This window comes from Homo sapiens, chromosome 17, assembly GCF_000001405.40.
Source record: "Homo sapiens chromosome 17, GRCh38.p14 Primary Assembly".
NCBI classification, from domain to species: Eukaryota; Metazoa; Chordata; class Mammalia; order Primates; family Hominidae; genus Homo; species Homo sapiens.
In genome coordinates, this window is record NC_000017.11 from 61,275,356 (window position 1) to 61,297,836 (window position 22,481).

Below are 22,481 nucleotides of genomic sequence, written 5' to 3' on the forward strand. Positions count from 1 at the left end.
GATTAGGTCTATACAGGGCCTTATGTGATTGTTGGTGCTGTTGAAGAGTCTGTTGCCATTGAGTCTCTTGGTGGGCCTGAATGTTGTGCAGGGCTGAAGCTGGGAAGAAAGCTCAGTGTTTAGCGGCAGAGAGAAAGGGCAAATTGGAACCCATGTGCATTTCTCAGCCAGGATCTCACCTTGTCGCCCAGGCTGGAGTGCAGTGGCACAATCACAGTGAGCAGTGGCTCACTGCAGCCTTGTCAGTGCCTTTAGCCTTGATAAAATGGTTGACTGACCTGCAGAAGGAGCTGGCACTCTTCACTACAGAGGTGCACATGCACTTGGCCCAGAAGTCAGATAATTTGAAGGAGACTATCTCATGAGAGCTGGAAGACATGTAGCCCGGCAGGCTGGCCAGCACATCAGTGACGGTAAGCATAAACTGCCACAGCACCGTGTGCCCTACATTTAACCTTCAGAGCGTAATGATTGCTGCCATCTTCCACCTTCCAAATCTCATGGAAATTTTTCTTATGATTAACCCCAACTCATAATCATACATGGAAGAGAATTATCTGAATCGTAGTTCCAGATTAGCTAAATTGATACAGTACAAAGTCATTATAATACTTAATAGTTTTTTGATAGCCTTAGGTATAAAACCTTATAAACGGCAACCTATTTTGCAAGGTTGTAGGATATACTATCAGTATATAAAAATCACTTGTGTTGGCCGGGTGCGGTGGCTCACGCGTGTAATCTCAGCACTTTGGGAGGCTGAGGTGGGCGGATCATGAGGTCAGGAGTTCAAGACCAGGCTGACCAACATGGTGAAACCCCATTTCTACTAAAGATACATTAAAAAATTAGCCAGGCATGGTGGTGAGCACCTGTAATCCCAGCTACTTGGGAGAGTGAGGCAGGAGAATCGCTTGAACCTGGGAGGCAGAGGTTGCAGTGAGCCAAGATCATGCCATTGCACTCCAGCCTGGGCTACAGGACGAGACTCCATCTCAAAAACAAACAAACAAACAAACAAAAATCACTTGTGTTTCTATACAGTAGCAATGAGCAAACCGCAAATAAAATTAGGAAAGCTATTTCATTTACAGTAGCATCAAAAAGAACAAAGTACTCAGGAATAAATTTAACCGAAGTAAAAATTTTATAAACTACAAATCACTGGGAGAAATTACAGAAGAACTAAATAAATGGAAAGATACTCCATGTTTATAGATCAGAAGACAAAATTGTTAAGACGGCAGTGCTCCCCAAATTGATCTACAGATTCAACACAATCTCTATCAAAATGATCTCTATCAAAATCTCTATCAAATAAGCTGACTTATTTGCAGAAATTGACAAGCTGATCCTAAAATTTACATATAAATTCAAGGGTGCAGAAAAGCCGAAATAATCTTGAAAAAGAACAAAGTTGAAGGCCTCGACTTTTCAATTTCAAAATATACTTCTAAGCTACAGTAATCAAGACAGTGTGGTACTGGCATAAGGATAGACATATACCATAATGGAATAGAATTGAAAGTCCAAAAATAACCCTCACATTTACAGTCAATTGAATTTTAAACATGGATGTCAAGACATTTTCTATGAGGAAAGAATAGTAGTTTCAACAAGTGGTAGGCTGGGCATGGTGGCTCATGCCTGTAATCACAATGCTTTGGGAGGCCAAGGCAGGAGGATCACTTGAGGCCAGGAGTTTGAGACCAGCCTGGGAAACATAATGAGACCTTGTCTCTTATAGGAAAAAAAAAATTTAGAGGGGCATGGTGGCGTGTGCCTATAGCCCTAGTAACTCAAAAGGCTGAGGCAGGAGGATCGCTTTTTCTAGGAGTTCAAGGTTGCAGTGAGCTGTAATCATGTCAGTGTACTCCAGCCTGAGTGACAGAGCAAGACCCTGTATCAAAAAAAAAAAAAAAAAAAAAGGTGGTGATGAGACAACTGAATATCCACATGACCCTACCTCATACCATACACAAAAATTAACTCAAAATGGATCAAAGACCTAAATGTAAGAGGTGAAGCTATAAAACTCTTAGAAGAAAACATATGAGTAAATCTTTGTGACCATGGATTAGGCAGTAGTGTCTTACATATGACACCAAAAGTACAAACAAGAGAAAAATAGATAATAAACTGGACACTATCAAACTAAAAAACATTCAGGCTTCTAAGAACCACATCAGGAAAGTAAAAAATGACCCACAAAATGGGAGAAAATTTTTGCAAATCATATATCTGATAAGGGACTTATATCTAGAATATATAAGAACTACTACATACATACACAATAATGATATATAACCCAATTAAAAATGGGCAAAGGATCTGAATAGACAGTTCTTCAAAGAAGATACACAATGGCCAATAATCACGTGAAAAGATGCCCAACATCATTAACCATCAGAGATATTCAACTCAAAACCACAAGCAGATACTACTTGGCACCCACTAGGATGACTATGATCAAAAAGATAGATAATAACAAGTGTTGATAATGATGTGGAGAAGTTGTAACCCTCATACACTGCTGGCAGGAATGTAAAATGGTGCAGCTCCTTTAGCAAACTGGCAATTTCTCAGATGGTTAACAGAGTTACCCTATTATCCAACAATTCCACACCCAGGTGTATACCCAAAAGAAATGAAAACATACCCACACAAAAAATGGTTTGTTTTGTTTTGTTTTGTTTTGTTTGACGGAGTCACACTGTGTAGCCCAGGCTGGAGTGAGGTGGTACAATCTTGGTTCACTGCAACCTCTGCCTCCCGGGTCCTGATTCAAGCAATTCTCCTGCCTCAGCCTCCCGAGTAGCTGGGATTACAGACACATGCCACGATGCCCAGCTAATTTTTGTATTTTTAGTAGAGACGGGGTTTCACCATGTTGGCCAGGCTGGTCTTGAACTCCTGACCTTGTGATCCGCCTGCCTCGGCCTCTCAAAGTGCTGGGATTACAGGCATGAGCCACCGTTCCCAGATAATTTTTGTGTTTTTTGTAGAGACAGGGTTTCGCCATGTTCCCAGGCTTATCTCAAACTCCTGGGCTCACATGATCCACCCACCTTGGCCTCCCACAGTGCTGGGTTTACAGGTGTGTGCCACCATGCCCAGCCTCTATCAACTGTTGGATGGACCTACCCAAAGGAATTGAATGCAGGAACAGGAACAGATGCTTCTGCGTTCCTTGTGGCATTATTCACTATAGCCCAAAGATGCCAGCACCCTAAGTATTCCAACACATTCATGGATAAACAAAATGTGGTGTGTTCCTACAGTGGAACACAAAATATTCCATAAAAAGGAATGAAATTTTCATACATACTGCAGCAAAGATCAGCCTTGAAAATATTTGTGACTGGAAGAACCAGCCAGTATGGTTCCACTTATATGACATGTCCAGAATAGGAAAATCTATAGAGACAGAAAGTAGATTAGTAGTGGTTTCCTAGGACTTGGGGATATGGGGAGATTGGGAGGTAGTGGCTAAGTGGTACAGGGTTTCTTTTCAGAACAATCAAAATCTTCTAAAATAGATTGTGGTGATGGTTGCACAATTCTGTGAATACACTAAAAGCCATTGAATTATGTACTTTTTTTTTTTTTTTTAAAGATGGAGTCTTGCTTTGTCACCCAGGCTGGAGTACAGTGGCATGTCTGGGCTCACTGCAACCTCCTCCCAGATTCAAGTGAGTCTCCTGCCTCAGCCTCTTGAGTAGCTGGGATTACAGGCATGTGCCACCATGCCTGGCTAATTTTTGTATCTTTAGTAGAGACGGGGTTTTACTGTGTTGGCCAGGCTGGTCTTGAACTCCTGACCTCAAGTGATCCGCCCACCTCGGCCTCCCAAAGTGTTGGGATTACAGGCATGAGCCACCATACCTAGCCTGAATTATATACTTTAAGTGGGTGAATTGTATGTTAGGTGAATTATATCTCAATAAATCTTTTTTTTTTTAAGGCAGCCTAGGTCTGACACACCTAATAGAACAGAAGCTCTCGCTTCTTTCTTCTCTTTCCATCAGTCAGTGATGCCCTTTGTGGGCAGGTTTGTGCACAGATCAGGGGTTCCATTCCATTCCTTATTATTTGGGTTCTTCTTGAAGAGCAGCTTCTGCCTAGCCCATGGTGGCTAAGAGATTCACAAGCCAGTTTGTATTTTGCAAACTTTCCCTTGGGGCCTCAGCAGAGGATATTTTTAGAACAGCTGTGGGTCTAATTTTGATGTGGCCCAGTGACTGTACACCAGGCCTCATCACTGCCTTGGGATAAGCATATATTACATTCAGTCTTAATCCCTTGGAGGACACAGAGTTGTTCAGTCCATCCTGGTGTAGACCACAAACCATGTTTAAAATAGTGGGCTAAGCCACTGGGCCTCCATGGTGAGGTGGCACTGGTCCCTCTGCTTGAGTGAAGAAAAAAAAAAAAAACTAGGCAGGTAACCACAAGCCAAGTTGGGCTTGGCTGCTGCAGGCTGATTGGATGACTGTGGCAGTACCAGCTTTGCTAAATCTCCTTTGGCTCACTTTTTCTCCCTCTCCATGTCTCTACATCTTTCTTTTCTCTCAATCCTGCTCCTGCTGAGTCTACATTAACTCTTTGTTTAGCTTGGCTCCAGAACCATAAGTACTTTCCTTTAGTCAAATATTTATCTCTTGGGTAATTTTCTCCCTACTGTCAGCAGAACTCAAGAAATCCTCTGGTTCAACAAAGAGTAGAGTTTAAGGGACCTCAGAACTCTTCTACTCCAAACCTCTTCCTTTATACTCGAAGACCCTGGTGCCCAGAGAGAGGAAGTATTATGCCAAAGTTACCCACCAAGTTAGGCTAGGCCTGGGATTTGGTACCATTATCTCCTCACTCATGGCTCAGTACTCTTTCCATTTTTGAATGAAGAAAGACATTACAGAAAGAAGCAGGATTCTGAGCAAATTCCAACCACTTGCAATTATCTTTGTGATAGATACAGACATAGGATCAACAGTAGTCCACCTCAAAGACAGTTATTGTTTCTTAAAGTCCAAGAGGCTATTGGTTATCACTGAGTCCAACTTGGGGAGGTCATCAGATTTGTCTTTGGAGGGGAATGTGAGGTAGTTGACCTGGTAGAAAGTGTCTAATTTGGAATCAGGATTCAGGTTTGAGTCACAACTTTGCCACTTAAAGATTTCACATCTTGTATGAGTAATTTATTCTCTGTGCTTCAATGAATAGATCTATATAGCAGGAGTAACAGTACCTACCTTGGAGTGTGGTTGTATAGATTTGATAAAATAATGAAAGTAAAAGCTTATTTTAACTTGAAACAAAAGGTGTATTCACATGAAAAGATTGGCATTGTTGTGTGTGTGTTCAGCAAGAAGTGACCCCCTCCAAGTGTATTCTTATGACAGATTAGTGCTTAAAGTGGGCAGCGCCGGAGCTAAAGGTTCCGCCAGTTCTCTTCACACATGCCTGATCATTTGGGCAGCAAAGATGGAGCTATCTGGGAATGTCTCGACCCTTAACAGGTTGAAGGCTTTCTCCAACAAGTCCCAACTGATTGGCCTGCTGTATTCCCGCAGTATCTAAGCCTTCTAAAAAGGTATTACATACTATGTGGTTTAAAAAGAAAATCAGGCACAAAATGGTATAAAAAGAGACCTACTCTTATCTCCCAATCCTTGCCCAGAGGAAACAATCACTGTCAGCAGTTTACTGTGTATCATTCCAAAGATATTCTGTGCATCCTTTTTTCTTTGCATCGAAAAAATACACTACTATGCACACTCTTTCCATATATCAATACATCTTGGAGATTTTTCCTTTTTTAGTATTTATAGAATTTCCTTAGAGACAACATAGTTTTCCACAATTTATTTCACAATGCCTATTGTTGGATGTATAGATGGTCTTCAATCTTTTGTCATTATAAACAGTGTTAAAGTAAATATTTTATATCTTAGGACATTTGTGTAATTTCATCTGTATAAATAGTTCTTAGAAGTAGAATTCCCAGGTCAAAGGATAAGTGACCTAGGAATTTTTTGTAATTTAATTATTTAATGTCAAATTTTCCATCATAGTCACCATACTAAGTTATACTCCCACCCCCAGGTATGAGAGTACTTATTTCTCTACGCCTTGCCAGTACAGTGTGTTATCAGATTTTTTGGTCTCTGCAAATCAGATTCAATGTGTCATTTTATTGTAATTTAAATTTGCATTTCTCTTAGACTGGCATGGAACGTATTTTCACAAATTTAAATGCCATATTTAGTTCTTTCATTGTTCATGGTCTTTACCCATCTTTATACTGGGTTTTTTATCTTATTCATATTGATTTGGAGGAGCTTTCTATATACTAAGCAAATTAGCACTCTATCATATATATTATAAATATTTTTCCAAGTTTGTCAGTATCTTTGCCATACAAATTTTAAATTTTATGTGTTTATCAATAATTTCTGGGGTTTGTATCATATTAAGTATAGCTTTCTCATTTCTCTGTTTTTAAAAAAAATTCTTCGTTTTATGGTAAATTTTTACTTTCTTTTCCGCTACTTCCTTTTTACAAGACTGTTGTGCACATAATAGATGTTCAAGACTTTTTTCTAAACAGCTATTTCAATTTAGGCTGTTTCATGTAATGAGAGGAAGACTGAATTTGGATTCAGAAGACCTCATTGACAACTAACTATAACACATTCAAACTAGTTACTAGGTACCTGCCTCCTGCATTTTTGTGAATATCTAATAAGATCAAGTGAATTTAATATATGAGAAAGTCCTTTTTAAAGTATAAAGAAATTATTTGGGACAGTTTTTCAGTGAACACATTCATATATGCTTTTATTATTTTTCTCCCTAATTGGTCTCAGGTTTGAAATAAAATTTGTCTCTAGGAAAAAGCAAAGCTCATAAATGTGGGGTTTTCTTTATTGCTTCTTTGGGAATACCTTACCGATGAGAAGGCTTTCCTGAGCCTTGGTTGGGAGCTGAATGAGAAGGGGCAATTGGGCCTCTGGTGAAAGGTTCTCCCCAAGTGTCCAAACTAGTACCTTTTAAGAGTAGGATGGTTGGAAAAAGTGGGCAGGACATTTGCATAATATTCCAGGACAGAGAGTTCACTTTTATTGGGCTGAAAGAGTTCAAAGGCAAAGTCTTCTGGGAACTAAAGTTGGTTTCGTTGGCTTACTCTTAGACAGATGTGACTTCCTGTGTCAGCGAGGGAGGCTCCAAGGACAAGTTGAATGCCCAAGTTATAGAAAGTTATGTTTGTATTGGTCGTTGTTAATAAAACAGAGTATCTGGGGTGTTTGAAAAAGAAGGAAGCCCATCAACACAGAGGATTATGAATCAGACCCTTCCAGAAGTCTCTATACCTCACTTTGAGAGAATTTCCATTTTGGTTTAATGAGTTGGTCACATTGCATCATCCCTTTATCTACCCAAAATGTGAATTTTAAACATTTTTTATCCAGATAATTTTTTCACAGAGGGAAATGCACAGAGCTTAAATGTGCAAGTAATTAAATGAGTTTTAGTGAAGGGGAGAAATCACAGTAAAAATATATATTTTCAATATATTTGTATATTATATATAATACATATTTTATATTTTTATATATAAATTTTTTTCACTGTGATTTTCCCCCTTTAAAAATAAATCAGCCCATGGCATCTTTTATTTAAATAATACTATGATGTCGTGATGTTGTAATACTAAAAGTTGTGTTGTTTTTTTTGCTCCACGTTGCTCCTTTTTGTATTGAAAACGATTGGGCAGCCATGACATTCAATGGTGCTGCCTAGTTCCTTCAGAGATTTTACCGTTTTATTTATGTTTTAATACAAAGGTGACCATTTTTACTGGAAAAGTACCAATGAATTCAACTAGTCTTGGTTTGGAGGACTATAACACATTCAAACTAGTTAGCTTCATCCACCAGACATTAAGCACCCACTCTATGCTAAGTACTTTATGTTACGTTTAGCTCATTCTCCCTATTATATTTAGTTAACTCTCCTATTTAGTTCATCAGCGATGATGAAGGGAAGACCAAGTGAATTTAGAGGGGATTTGTACCAAAATGAGGTTGCAAAAGTAAATTGATTTTTTTTTTTTTTTTGAGACGAGTCTGGCTCTGTCGCCCAGGCTAGAGTGCAGTGGTGCCATCTCAGCTCACTGCAAGCTCCGCCTCCTGGGTTCACGCCATTCTCCTGCCTCAGCCTCCCAAGTAGCTGGGACTACAGGCGACCGCCACCATGCCTGGCTAATTTTTTGTATTTTTAGTCGAGACAGGGTTTCAATGTGTTAGCCAGGATGGTCTCAATCTTCTGACCTCGTAATCCACCTTCCTCAGCCTCCCAAACTGCTGAGATTACAGGCGTGAGCCACCGCACTTGGCCGTAAATTGATTTTTTAAAAAAAAATTTTAGAGACAGGGTTTTGCTCTGTCACCCAGGTTGGAATGCAGTGACGCAGTCATAGCTCACTGCAGCCTCAACCTCCTGGGCTCAAACAGTCCTCCTGCCTCAGCCCCCCAAGTAGCTGAGACAGCAGGCCACCACACCCAGTTGTAAATTGATTTTTAAGCAGTTAGAACTTGAACTGATTCACCTGGGCAGCTTTAGTTGTATCTTTGGTATTACGATCTTGAGAGGTGAAGCCGGCTGGGCTTCTGGGTTGGGTGGGGACTTGGAGAACTTTTCTGTCTAGCTAAAGGATTGTAAATGCACCAATCAGCGTTCTGTGTCTAGCTAAAGGTTTGTAAACACACCAATCAGCACTCTGTAAAAATGGACCAATCATCACTCTGTAAAATGGACCAATCAGCAGGATGTGGGCAGGGCCAAATAAGGGAATAAAAATTGGCCACCTCCCCCACCCACACCAGCAGTCGCAAACCTGCTCAGGTTCCCTTCTATGTCAGGAAGGTTTGTTCTTTCACTCTTCACAATAAATCTTGCTGCTGCTCACTCTGGGTCCACACTAGCTTTATGAGCTGTAACACTCACCAGGAAGGTCTGTGGCTTCATTCCTGAGAATGAAGTCAGCGAGACCACGAACCGACCGGAAGGAAGAAACACTGGACACATCTGAACATCTCAAGGAACAAACTCCAGACACACCATCTTTAAGAACTGTAACACTCATCGCGAGGGTCCGCGGCTGGTTCTTGAAATCAGCCAGACCCAAGAACCCACCGGAAGGAACCAATTCCAGACACAATCTGAAGACTTGTTCACCTCCGATGCTGCTTCTGGGCTCTTTGCAATTAGCAGTGCAGCCCACAACTGCGTTTTTTTTTTTCCTCTACTCTTTTTTTTTTTCCCTCCTGCTGTTTAGGCTTCATTCTAACTAGCTTTTCAGCCTATGTGGGCATTTATTTGTTCCCTTAAGGCCATGCCAGTTGTTGCAAAGGTAGAGAAGGAATCCTCAGAAGAGCTCTCAGGGTCTCTGCTTAGGAAAGCCTCCACTCAACAGTAAGTGAGGAGATTTGCCCAGGCATGGCAGGGCATAGCACAGTGACCTGATGCCACCTCAGAAGGGACAGCAGAAGCTTCCCCAGCACCTAGCTAGTGCCTGTTGTTGAATGAATGTATAAGTGAAGTTTTCAAGCAAGTGTCATCAAGGTTCTCTCCTGGTTCTCCTGTCTGTAGGCTTCTGAAAGCTTTGCTGCCCTAAATTCCTGTCCTTGGTCTCTGTTGGGACCATGCCTACTGACTGATGCTAACCTCGGGGTCTCTTCTGTCCCCTAGTGATTCAAACCAGCTATCCTGAAACTGCTTCCACCTGGGCAGACCAGGGACCACAGGAACCAGAGAAATGAAAAGTATCACTTGAGAACTAAATTGGGGTGTTTTGCTTTTCCCCTCCTCCTAGGTTGTGTGTGTGTGTGTGTGTGTGTGTGTTTCTTGCTAAAATGCAGCAAAGGAAGGGGAAACAAATACAACAGTGCACGGCAGAGTCCCTGCTAATAAATGTATATAAAAGAACTGAGTGCTGCTTCTCCAACATAACTTCCAGGTCTGAATACTTTGTTTTCTGCAGATTTTCAACAGGTGTCAGTTACACTTTACCTGGCCCTAAAGTGAAAAGCTCTACATGCTTGGTTTGGTTTATCCATAGGATCTAGACTAGACTAGACTAGAGGATTGACGCAGTGAAAATGTTTACTCCTCTAATTAAGCAGAATTAAGGTCTGGGCTCAAAACTGTCTTGAGCTGTGCTAGGCATAATTGAGATGCATGGACTTTGTGTAAATAATGTACTTCTAATTGGCTTTGATTAAGTGCAAATTAGAATCACACTTCACTCCAGTGTGATTTACATTCCTAAGCCCTTTTACTAACTGAAGTACTGTGGGTGGCCGATAAGGCTTGTTTATCCAGGAGACAAGAGACTAGGAGCTAGGAGCTGCGGATCTGCAGTTTCCCAAAGGTAAAGGAGCCTGCAGCTGAGCCTCGAGTTTCTCATGTCTTCCCTCCCATCTCCAGTCCCTACTTTAGGCGAATCAGCTTTAGTCCTCTAAATTCTAAAGCTCTACCAATTTTTTTTTAGTTTCAAGACTTAGCTTACACACACACTCAAGTTACGTGAATACATGAATATTGCAGTTTGTCTTGTGAAACCTCAGACCTAAAACCAGCCCCAGGCTTTGACTGTCAATATCATGACACCTTTTTACTCATGGACCAGAAACATTTCATAAAGGAAACAACTGGTGGGAAGTTTTTTCCAGAGAGTTCCCAGTGTGTGAGTGTGAGTCAACAGACTGCTACAAAGTAGCTTAAACTCTGCACACATCTTCCTCTGGGATTTCTTTGCAGCTTTCAAAGGGTAGATCTTTGCAACCATCCCTTGGGGAGCCTGCAGGGCGGGGTGCGGAGGGTCTGCGGGGGTGGGGCGCTGCCGAATATGAGACATTTCCTCTTGCTTCTGAGTTCTCTGAATCTGCATTTGAAAGTTATCGTGAGCAGATGAAGCAGAGGTTGCTGGGTTTATACTGATGTCTGCGCCCACTCCTGTGCTGGTGAAGTCTGGCGTGTGGAGAGGCCTCTGGTTATTGGGAGGCTGGTAAATGGCCAGCAGGATAGAAATCCGACGTGGTGTTTATGACCCTGGAGGCCATCGATAACTGGACCTAGAAGGGTTTCTCCAGATTTTCTCACGTTAGCATGCTGCTGCTTGGTGCACGACCAAAAAGTAACATGTCAGAATAGGGATTTTCACACCAGCAGAGAGTGCTAACAGTGTGCCAGGATCTGTGGGCACGCTGTTAGCAGGGCTAAGTTAAATACTCGCTTTACACCGTTGTGAAGGCAGCTCCCAGGGCAGCCAGAGGAGCATGTCACCTTCAGAGTAGGTTGGACTGTAAATATGTTTGGTCTCTAAACTCTGCCACGGGCTTACCAGAGTGAGAAGTTAGCATATTGAGGCAAATTACACTACAGAGATCCTGGCCAGGGTGAGGAAAGACAGAGAATGCTTTCTAGGACCTTTATACTGCATTCATTCATTTATTCATTCACTGAAACTTTATGGGCCACCTACTGAGCCAGACACCAGAGATGCAACTAGAAAGATGCCATGGTCTTTACACCTAAAGAGCTCTATGGAGGCCAGGCGTGGTGGCTCGCGCCTGTAATCCCAGCACTTTGGGAGGCTGAGGTGGGTGGATCACAAGGTCAGGAGATCGAGACCATCCTGGCTAACACGGTGAAACCCCGTCTCTACTAAAAATACAAAAAATTAGCCGGGCGTGGTGGCGGGCACCTGTAGTCTTAGCTACTGGGGAGGCTGAGGCAGGAGAATGGCGTGAACCCGGGAGGCAGAGCTTGCAGTGAGCCGAGATCGCACCACTTCACTCCAGCCTGGGCAACAGAGCCAGACTCTTAAAAAAAAAAAAAACTCTATGGAGTTGGGGAACAGATCTCTATAGAGATAAATGAGAACCAAATGTGGTAGATGCTGCAGCAGAGAGGAGGAAGCCTGCGGTAGGGGCTGTCTTGGGGAAAATTGTCTGCCATACTGCATTTGTTCAGAGCAACGTGGAGTCAGCTTGAGGGCCACATGCTGTTCCAAGAAAGTGTACTTTGCAGGGCGTGGTGGCTCACACCTCTAATCCCAGCACTATGGGAGGCTAAGACAGGAGGATTACTTGAGCCCAGGAGTTCAAGACCAGCCTAAGCAACATAGTGAGACCTCGTCTCTATGAAAAATCAAAAAATTAGCCAGGCATGGTGATGGGCACCTACAGTCCCAGCTACTACTGAGGCTGAGGCAGGAGGATCACTTGAGCCCAGGAGGTGGCGGCTACAGTGAGCCAAGATGGCATCGTTACACTCCAGCCTGGGTGACAGAGTGAGACCCTGTGTCAAAAAACAAAAAACAAAACAAAAAAAACACCAACAAGCCAAAAAAGTACACTTATTATTGACTTTCTGAAGAAAAAGCAGTAATAACAACAATAGGATATTCACATTTGTTCAGTACATACTATGTGCCAAGTATTGTTCTAAGTATTTTTGTTCATTTTCTCATGTAATAGTCACAGCATTGAAAAGGTACCATTATTTCTATTTTAAGAGGAGCAAGCTGAAGGTTGCAGGGATTAAGTAACTTGCAGAGGAATCGGGACTCGAACTTGGTTCTGATATCTTTACAACTCTAGCTTGTTACTCTACACCAAAGTGTAAAAGACAGTCAGAAGCCCTGGGCTCTGTTGCTGACTTTCTTACCAACTGGCTGTGTGCTCTTCAGCAAGTCACTCCCTGTCTCTGCCTTGGTTCCTTCCTTAACCACTCCATTAAATGAGGCACTCAATCAACTTGAATCAAAGAAATTACATGGGCTGTGGGGAGGGAAAGTGTAAGGTCTTTGATGGCTTGCTGTGCTATTATCGGTAGTGAATTTTGTGACCTTGACTTGTCATCTGCTGGCCCTAAAGTATGTAGTGTTGATCTTTGTCAGTCTTACTTCTTGACCTGGGTGCTTGATTCCAGAAAGCCTCTTAAAGTGGGGCTCTGTATGTTTCTTTGTTGGGAGTGGATCCAGGCAGCAAGGGCCCAAGGTTATCAAGTACAAGGGCTTTGTCCCAGAGCCATCTCTGCTATAGATTGTCCTAGCTTTAGGTTGGCATGCACTTTCTACTTCAGATCCCCAGTGAGTCCTTGTTGGCAAATGTGGTGCTTTGATCTTTTAAAAGTTGAAGTTCAGCCCAAGACCTTGACCAAGGTCAAGTTCTCCTTCATTCCCAGTGGGCTTAGGAGGAGTGCTTTCTTGTCTGACTGATAGAGACAAGGAACCAAGTCGGCAGCAACCACAAGATATGGCGCACTGAAGGACTGGAAATTTTCTTGACAGTTTTTAATGCAGAGATGCCTAGAAAGAAGCTACCACCCCACATGCCAATCCTCCAAGCAGGCCTTGTACCCAGCCATGGGCGAAAGGGCTGTACTGAGAACCACCAAATCCTGGCCTAGCCAGGATGGTGGCTGGTGTTTTCCAGGTACCTTGGTATTCAAAAAAGCCTTAGAATAGCAGATTTTGGTTTTGGAGGACAGGGGTGGAGCATGAAAACATGCTCATAGTATTTATCTATAACCAATACAATGTTTAAAATGACCCGTCCCATTCGGGAAGGGCCGCGCAGGCCTAATGGCCCCTCTGCACATTTCCTCTTGGGCAAGGCCCAACACAAGTGCACCCTCCTTTCCACCCCTTAGTCCACTTGTTGGAACAACTTGTTTCAGACTCTTCATGTCGTCTAATCTTTCTAACCATATTCTGGAACTTTGACTTTGACCTTGAGTTATAATTCCAAGTACTAAGCATTACTTGGGAGAGAATGTACCCCCGCGACTCAGCTGGCTCACTCAGAGTGGCGGGGTGTGGTGGGGGTGCTGGCCCAACAGACTCTAGTCACTCATGGAAAGGGGTCTCTCTTCTGACCATTTCCAGACATCTTCACATGATCTCAGTTTGATTTTTAGCTTCCTTTTTGCTCTTCGCTTGTAATTTCTCAACATCAGACATGGCTGTTTACCTCCACGTACATTACTGCCATGTGAAACCACTCTGTCCTCTGAGAGCAAATAAACTGGCTTTAATGGGTATGCTGTCAAGTAACAGCTAAAGGGTTAAAAGTTTGAGCAGGCAGGCTGGCCAGCAGGAGTTAGTGGTGTGGAGTAAGAGGGACGCCAGCCTGTCTCTAAACTTTTTGGCCCTCCCCAAGTACAGAGATGAAGGAAGAGCCTCTATAAATCACTGGAGATTAGAGACCCCGTTCTTGCCGACTCCACAGGGTTGCACTGCTTAATGTCAAAGCCTCACGTATTACTCTAACAGCACTCCTTTTCTTTATTAAATCCACTTTGAAATAAAAAAAAAATGATGATCTTTCCAGTAAGGGGGAGAAGGCTAAAAGGATTTAGAAAGTATCTGCTATGTTACATTACAGAGACTAATAACTGTTTAGGGAGTAAGTAACATTTTTGCACCATCTTAAGCCATAAAAGCGAAGAGAGGTATAAAGGTCTGTTCCTTAGAATCAATTTGTTTGAGTGTTTATTTTGCCCCGTGTCCTTGCCTCCAGGTTTCCTTCAAAGTGTGAGCAAAGCAACTGGGAAACTGATGTGAGTGCTGATAGCCAAAAGGTCTGGGACACTAAATTTTTCAGAAATTAGGGTGTTTACTTGGGTTCGTGTGTGTAAAGGGAGCATGGGAAGGGAGTGTGGTGGTGGAAAGAGTTCTACTTTTATACTTAAAAGAAAAAATGCAAACTTTGTGTTCCTTTGGAGGCCGAAACTAAGCTTATCTCCTTCATCTGACTTTAATGAAGACATATTTTAAGCAGCTGCACCCATGTCAAATGTCATATTTTGGCTCAAAACGTCCACCTTCTGGGTGGGAGTTTTCTCAAACTAAGAAGTTGGTAGTAATTATAAGCTAATTGAGGAGCAGTAAGCAGAAGTCTGATTGTCACAAAACGTAAGTTAAAAATTATATAGATGAAAAAAGAGTGGCATGAATTGGTTATTTGTTAAAGCTGGCAGTGGGGTTTATTATACCATTCTCTCTGCTTATATATGTTTAAGATGTTCATAATAGAAAAACAAATCAGTTTAAATAAAATGCTTAGCACTTACTAACCAAAAATAAACCAATGTGAGCTAAAATATTAAATCACCAATTATAGCTTTTTAATTTATACTTTCAGAGAGATCTAGATAACGAAAAACGACAGAGAATTTGGGTGCCTCTAATTTGTTTACTACCCATTAGGGCTTGAAGCTTCTTTCTGTTTATTCCTTTATAGTCAAATGCCCATTACTTCAACAGAATTGTTCCAGGAAGGTAGGATTCCATCATTAAGAGCCCAGAAAAAAAAGCCTTGAAAATCTTGGGAGTAAATGTGGTCAAGGGACTTTTTAGTTTGCATTTTTTTTTTGAGTCAGAGTCTCGCTCTGTTGCCCAGGCTGGAGTGCAGTGGCGTGATCTCGGCTCACTGTGAGCTCCGCCTCCCGGGTTCATGCCATTCTCCTGCCTCAGCCTCCCAAGTAGCTGGGACTACAGGTGCCTGCCACCACGCCCGGCTAATTTTTTGTATTTTTAGTAGAGACGGGGTTTCACCATGTTAGCCAGGATGATCTCGATCTCCTGACCTCATAATCCACCCGCCTTGGCCTCCCAAAGCGCTGGGATTACAGACGTGAGCCACCGCGCCCGGCCTAGTTTGCCTATTTTAGCCAAGCACTGGCGAACCAAGTCCATTTTGTGTTTAGGGTTTCACTTGTTTATTCAGCAAACATTTGATGAACAACTACAGCCTACCAGGTACTTTGCTAGCTATTGGTGATTTAAACAAACAAACAAACAAAAGAAACGAATAACCCAGGCTCCAACTCTGGAGAAACTTACCATCTTAAAAGGAAATATTTAAAACACGATTACATATAAAATAGCATGAAACCTTAAAAATAAAGGCCACTTTTAAACATTACTATACTTGATGTGGGGAGAGGAATTGAGCTTGCTTTCTGTAGCTCCCGGATTATGACTTAGAGAAGGATTGTGAGATTTGAGATGAGCTAGGAACTGTTTTCAAGCCAACTGCTAGATTGGTATGTTGTTTCCATTTGCATTTTGAAGTTTGGAAAGGGTTCACACCTTTAAAATGTGGTTCATATTTGCCGGGAAAAAAATGGCTTGTTTTGCTGTGCTTCCCATCCAAGAGCTGACAAGTCACAGCTTTTTATTCTGACTAACAGCTTGAAGGTATCACCTCTGCAGGCTCCTGACACAATGAATTGCGGTTCTTCATTTATGGCAGTTTGTGCTTCGTGTACACTTTCATGTGTTTAGGATGGTTGCCCAGTTTTAAAGTAGCAGCTCTTAAAATAGCTGGAAATGGATTTGGAGTTCAGGTTTGGTTGAAAGTGGGCTGATGGTGGTTGTGCGTGTGTCGGTGTGTGCCCACTTGCAAGCCTGTATGCACGCCCGTGCTGCTGTGAGTCAGTCCAGAGCAGTTTACACAGGGGTCCACTGTGATAGAAAATATAAGGCATGTAGGGTGAGGAGGAAGAGGGTGGGAGGATTGCATCTAGTGATCCTGGAACAGTTGCTCAGACCAGCATTTAGTGTTTTATTAGGAGAGAACAACTCTATAAAAGGAACAAGAGGTTCAATCATTATAGAGTGGGGCGACAGGAGGCAGCTGCCAGCATGACTTTGAAAACCCTTGGAGATCCTAGAAGACTTGCCACATGTAACGTGGAGCAGCTGCTGGGATCATTTAGGAGAAATGCAGAACTTGGCACCCACCCACGCCTTCAGGGGATAGATTCTAGGATCACCCCAATGTTTTCTTTAGATGAGTTCCAACCCCACCCCACCCCCACTTTCCTTGCCATTGAACATTCTCACAGCAGCTCTTGTATTTTTCTTTTTTATTCCAGGTAGTTTTGCAGAGAATTAAGAGAAAAGGATAGTCCCCTAGTTTGATTTGAAAAGAAATGAGGGGCCGGGCATGGTGGCTCACACCTGTAATCCTAGCACTTTGGGAGGCCGAGGTGGGCAGATCACTTTGAGCTCAGGAATTCGAGACTAGCCTGGGCAATGTGGCAAAACCCCATCTCTACTAAAAATACAAAAATTAGCCAGGCGTGGTGGTGGGTGCCTGTAATCCCAGCTACTCAGGAGGCTGAGGCATGAGAATCGCTTGAACCCAGGAGGCAGAGGTTGCAGTGAGCCGAGATCACGCCATGCACTCCAGCCTGGGTGACAGAGCGAGGCTCCGTCTCAAAAAACAAGAAAAAAGAAATGAGGGGTGAGGGGTCCTTTATGCTTGGGGGTCAGGCAGGTGTGGCCAGGTTGGGAGAATACAGAGGGTCCCCTATTCTTATGCCCATATGTGTACTTCATAAACAGATTGCCACAACCTTGCAAACTATCACTTACATGATGTCATGCAAGTAACGAAGTATGTGAATTTCATTTTTAAAAAATCTGCCTAGGATGTCTGTTTTTCATCAATACATACAGAATATTTGCAAAGCTGAACCCTTCAACTTTAAAAATCTCCAATTAAATCATATAAACGTAAGCAATAACCAATGTTCAAATAAGCCAGAAGAAGGTTATTTATGGGGGGTTATTCTTGACAAGTGTATCATTTGACATATGTATAAAATTTTTGGTAAAGTTTTCTCAGAGTATAAATGCCAATAACTGCTGAAATTTGGCAACCAGCACATTTCTTCTGTGGACTCATGTTCTGTAAGCAAGCTCAGAGACCACCAGTATGTTCGTAAAAATTATTACTGATGTAATCTTGAACAGGAGGTGGCCCCAACTTCATTTGGGAACAAATGGAGGGAAAATTAAAGGGTAGATGTGGAAATAGTCATAGTTTCATCTTTAGAAGGGATATTAGAAATCGTGCAGGTTGGAAATCTCACTTATAGCTTGAGAAAATCCTCCTGCCCCTCTACTCCAAGAGATTCTGATAACTTCTCTCCTGCCTTACCTCCCTCACCCCAGTTTGAAAATCATTCTCACTCTTACTAATAGGAGAGCTGCCTATCATCAGATATGTTGAGATGGTGAAAAAAAAAGTTAAGAACTGCACGTTTAACCTTCTTGGCTCGTTTTTAAGACAAGACTATTAGGGCCCAGAGAAGTCCCGTAGAGGATAGCAGAACAAGGTCTTCATATTCTGTCACTTGGAAGTGACAGGTATATGGACCCAGCCATTTCTAAGACATTAAATCACAACCCTCATGCTGTTGCCATATGACCAGGGATCAGCACTGTCAAGTATGAAAGAGAGAAGACTATGGGGCTGGTGCTATGAGGAACTATATAGGGTCATATCCTTAAGTTCCATTATGTGCAGGATCTACTGGAAATAGCACCTCATTTTTATTTTTCAGACAGGGTCTCACTCTGTCACCCAGGCTGGAGTGCAGTGGCACGATCTCAGCTCACGGCAACCTCTGCCTTCCAGGTTCAAGCGATCCTCCCACTTCAGCCTCCCAGGTGTCTGGGACTACAGGTGTATGCCACTGCGCCTGGCTTATTTTTGTATTCTTTTGGTAGAGGAGAGGTTTCACCATGTTGGCCAGGCTGGTCTTGAACTCCTGACCTCAAGGGATCCATCCTCCTCGGCCTCCCAAAGTACTGGGATTACAGGCGTGAGCCACAGCATCATTTTTCTGCAAAGTAGTTTGTTGTATCTCTAGTTAAATAGTTAAGCAATAGAGTATTTCATCCTTGTATTTTCCAGTCTCCAAAATAAGTTATTTTAAAATACAATAAATGTATAGAACAGATCCCAACTACTGTAGTTAAACTTATAATGGAGTTACTCATCATGTTTGAAAAAAGCCTTGCAATATAATATCATATGTTTTTATTCCAGGCCCACAAATAGGTGGTAGTACTGTGATGTCCCTACTCACGGGTCCTTTCCCTCTTTATTTGAGGGACAAGGAACTTCCCACCAGCCTAGGGAAAATCATCCATCCTAAGTATCTTTAAACATTTGATTTGATTAAGTCCTACAAGGAACAAGCAGAGTTATGCTAGCCACAGCGTGGTATTTGGAATTCCTTTTGTTATTAAAAAATTCCATGCTGGTTGTATGAGTTCAGGAAGCCTGAGGAGGGATAAGAAATAGACCTTTTGTCTAGTGCTATTTTAACACACTTCTTCAGGTGTTGGTGGGCAAACTGGCCTTGAAAGGCCTTGAGTTCTTAACATAGTTGAGTCTCAGGCCCAGGCTGGGTAGCAGAAATGCCCTACCTCATTGAGTACTCTTCTGTTTCATCTCTTCTGTCCCTGTATTTGTCTGGATTCTCAAAACATTGTCTTGTCACTTAAAAACATTAAGACGTGCTCCATCCAGTCTCCATTGCTGGGATTTAGTCTGTATTTGATGCAGCTGGTCTTTGGGATGAGCTCAGTCTTCCCCAACCATCATAAGGCAGTTTCTCTTGAGACTTCTGGTCCATTGCTACTCTTGAGATCTTTGCCCCGAAGTCAGCCCTCTCTGCCCCTATGGTGCCTTCAGTATGACAGGTCAGTTAAACATCAGCTGCCTTAGTAATTCAGGAAACAAAGACAGCCTCCAAGCCTCTGATGACATCACTACTCAAGACTGTGTCTGGCAGGAAGGGCTTGGTGTCACTTTATGAAGGAGACAAGCTGAGAATCGCACCTTCTAAACAGTCCCTGCTAAGTGCTGAAGTCTTGATTGGAGATGTGCTGTCCCGAGGCTTCTCTCTAAGCCCTTGGAGGGTATGCTCCCTAATAAGCTGCCCCAGAGAGGCAGTCCAGACAAGGAATTCCCTTTAAATGGTGGGTCACAACATCTGGAATGATTGTGCTGGATTACTAGGGAGCCTGGGCAGCAACGCTTTTCATCCTTCCTTAAACTTTATTCTCAAGAGAAGTGGTTTATAAGGAGCAGGTGATACGCAAAGAGGCGTTGGTGATGGAGACTTCTGCTGGAGAGCAGCCTGGCTCCTGGGGAGGATGAGCAGAGAACCCCTGTCTCTGACACTAAATGCCCAGCGTAATCCCCAAGGCAAAGGACAGACTGAGAGAGTTTTGTCAGATGAGTAGCTGTCTCTCTGTCTCTGCCAGGGGAACTCCTTTCCTGTGGGATTGCTGCTGCCAAGAGTGACAGTGCCTTCCTGATGAGGGTTCCTTTGTTCAGGTATTTACCTGGTTATAGTAAAGCCTATTTCTGATACCACTCAGGTCAAAAAACTGTCGTGTTGGGATGTCCATGGTTGCCGTTTGAAATTTCTGTAGGTCAGGCGGGGCGCGGTGGCTCATGCCTGTAATCCCAGCACTTTGGGAGGCCGAGGCGGGTGGATCACGAGGTCAGGAGTTCAAGACCAGCCTGACCAACATGGTGAAACCCCCGTCTCTACTAAAAAAAAAAAAAAAATTAGCTGGGCGTGGTGATGCACATCTGTAATCCCAGCTACTCAGGAGGCTGAGGCAGGAGAATCACTTGAACCTGGGAGGCGGAGGTTGCAGTGAGCCAAGATTGTGCCATTGCACTCCAGCCTGGGCAACAGAGCAAGACTCCGTCTCAAAAAAAAAAAAAAAAAGAAAGAAATTTCCGTAGGTCATCACAATTTTCAACACAACAGTTGCTTAGACAGCTCCTGCATCAGCCCAAAAGGGATATGAAAAGTTTCTTTCTCCCCTGAAAATGAGTTTGGTTTTGCCAGTGATATTTAGAAAAATATTTCCAAAATTTCTTCCTAGCGACATAGAATGTAAATGTGTATCATTACCATAAGAGACAGATGTCTGTTTCCATACTCTCTCATTCTTCCAGTCAGGTTAAACAGGCTTTACCCAGAGGTCATATGCATTCTCCAAGTTCCTGGTGGTTACCTTGAGTTAGCCCTAATGACAATTTGATGAAACAGTTGCTGGTAAAATCAGCAAAGGCAACTAGCACGATCACTATGAGTTGATGGTCCCAAAGGCCCATCCAGTGGGTTTGAGGGAACCCAGTGGTTCCAAGGCAGGCAGTAATAATATTTTTCCAAACTTCAGGTTCTCTGTGGAGAGGCTGTTCTTCAGAATTCTGCCTCTTTTTGAAAAAGGTAATTTTGACGAAGGTACATGAAATAGAGCCCGAATATTGACATCATCTCCAGCCAAAGTTCTCATTCCCCAGTGTGAATTCTTTCCTGTCCCTCTTGCAGTTATTACTATGTTTTTCTGTAGGAAAAGATGTATTTACTAGAACATATTTCTACCATTTTATTGGTTTATTTATTTATTCAACAGAAATTTATTAAGCACCAACCACATGGCAGAGGAGGCATCCTGGAAAAATTATTGACTAAACCAAGTCTTGAAGAATGAGTTGCAATTAGCCAGGCAGCAGCGAAGAGGGAATAGCACTTGCAAAGTCCGTTTACAAGAGGAGACAGAGCACAAACAAGGAGCTGTGTTTAGTTCAGGATGGCCAGGACATAAGACATAAATGCTTGGAGTTGTAGGAGAAATAAAGGGCTGATCATGGGGAGGTTGGGTTTCATGGTAGAGAGTCTGAAGGCTTTGGGGAGTCCCCTTGGAATTTTAAACAAGGTAATATGATCAACACGTGTTTCGGAAAACCCACTTAGGCTACAGTGTGGAAAATTGATTGAAGTGGGGTGAGACTGGATCCAGGAAACCGCCAGGTACCAATTATTTATCGAAGTGAGGAGTGATGAATGCCTTCCGTAAGGTAGGGATAGGAGGAATGGAGAGGAGGCTCCAACATGGGAAAGGAAATTCAGGGGCTCCATGACAGTCAATGCATATGGGATTTAGAATGCAATAGAAAGGTGGGAGTCTAAGATGCCACTCAAATTCTGGCTTGATAACTGAGTAGAAAGCAGTACCAGTCACAGAGGAAGAGGCTGGGGATGGAGGAGAGAAGGTGTGTTCACTTTGGAGCATACTGAGTTAAGGAGCCTAAAGAACAGCCGAGAGAAAGGGAAGCCAAAGTCATACTCCTTGACTTTTTCTTTATTGGCTTAGACTGTCTGGTGATCTAGTGGTGTGTGTGTATGCCGGGGGAGGGCAGAGATGGGCACGTGAAAACTCTCAGCATCCAAGAGAAGTTCACCTAAACCCTCCTGTTATTTCCAAAATTTGACCAGATGTTTAAGCAAATTAACAAATGATTAAAGCAGCAGTCAGCGGGGACCTAGACCCCTGTGGAAATAAGCAAAGGGGCAAAACTGCAGAGAAAGCCAAGCCCAGGTGTTCTTGTTGAAGGGAGGTCAGTGTGATGGGGGTCCTCAGTGGTCGATGGGCAGAGTCAAAATGAAGCAAGCTGAGTCTGGTGGAGAGGGTGAAATCGGAAATCTAGGAAAAGTACAGGTGTTCGTGTTCACTGTGAGAATAACTTCTACCTAACAGCTATGCTCTCAACGGTATTTTTATTCCGTCCACTGTTGGTAGCACA

The 22,481-nt window shown here is 42.8% G+C and overlaps 1 protein-coding gene across 8 annotated transcripts in view, besides 1 other annotated feature; it reads left to right on the plus strand.

The window, feature by feature from the left end:
- Positions 1 to 22,481, plus strand: part of BCAS3 (BCAS3 microtubule associated cell migration factor) — a 714,981-nt gene that overhangs the window by 597,505 nt on the left and 94,995 nt on the right. The window lies entirely within an intron of this gene.
- Positions 8,225 to 8,725: an enhancer, noted in NCBI's record as "H3K27ac hESC enhancer chr17:59360941-59361441 (GRCh37/hg19 assembly coordinates)". NCBI's record gives its function as "activates a minimal SCP1, AML or CMV promoter by ChIP-STARR-seq in naive H9 embryonic stem cells {active_cell/tissue: H9 hESC(naive)}" and the evidence as "EXISTENCE:reporter gene assay evidence [ECO:0000049][PMID:30033119]".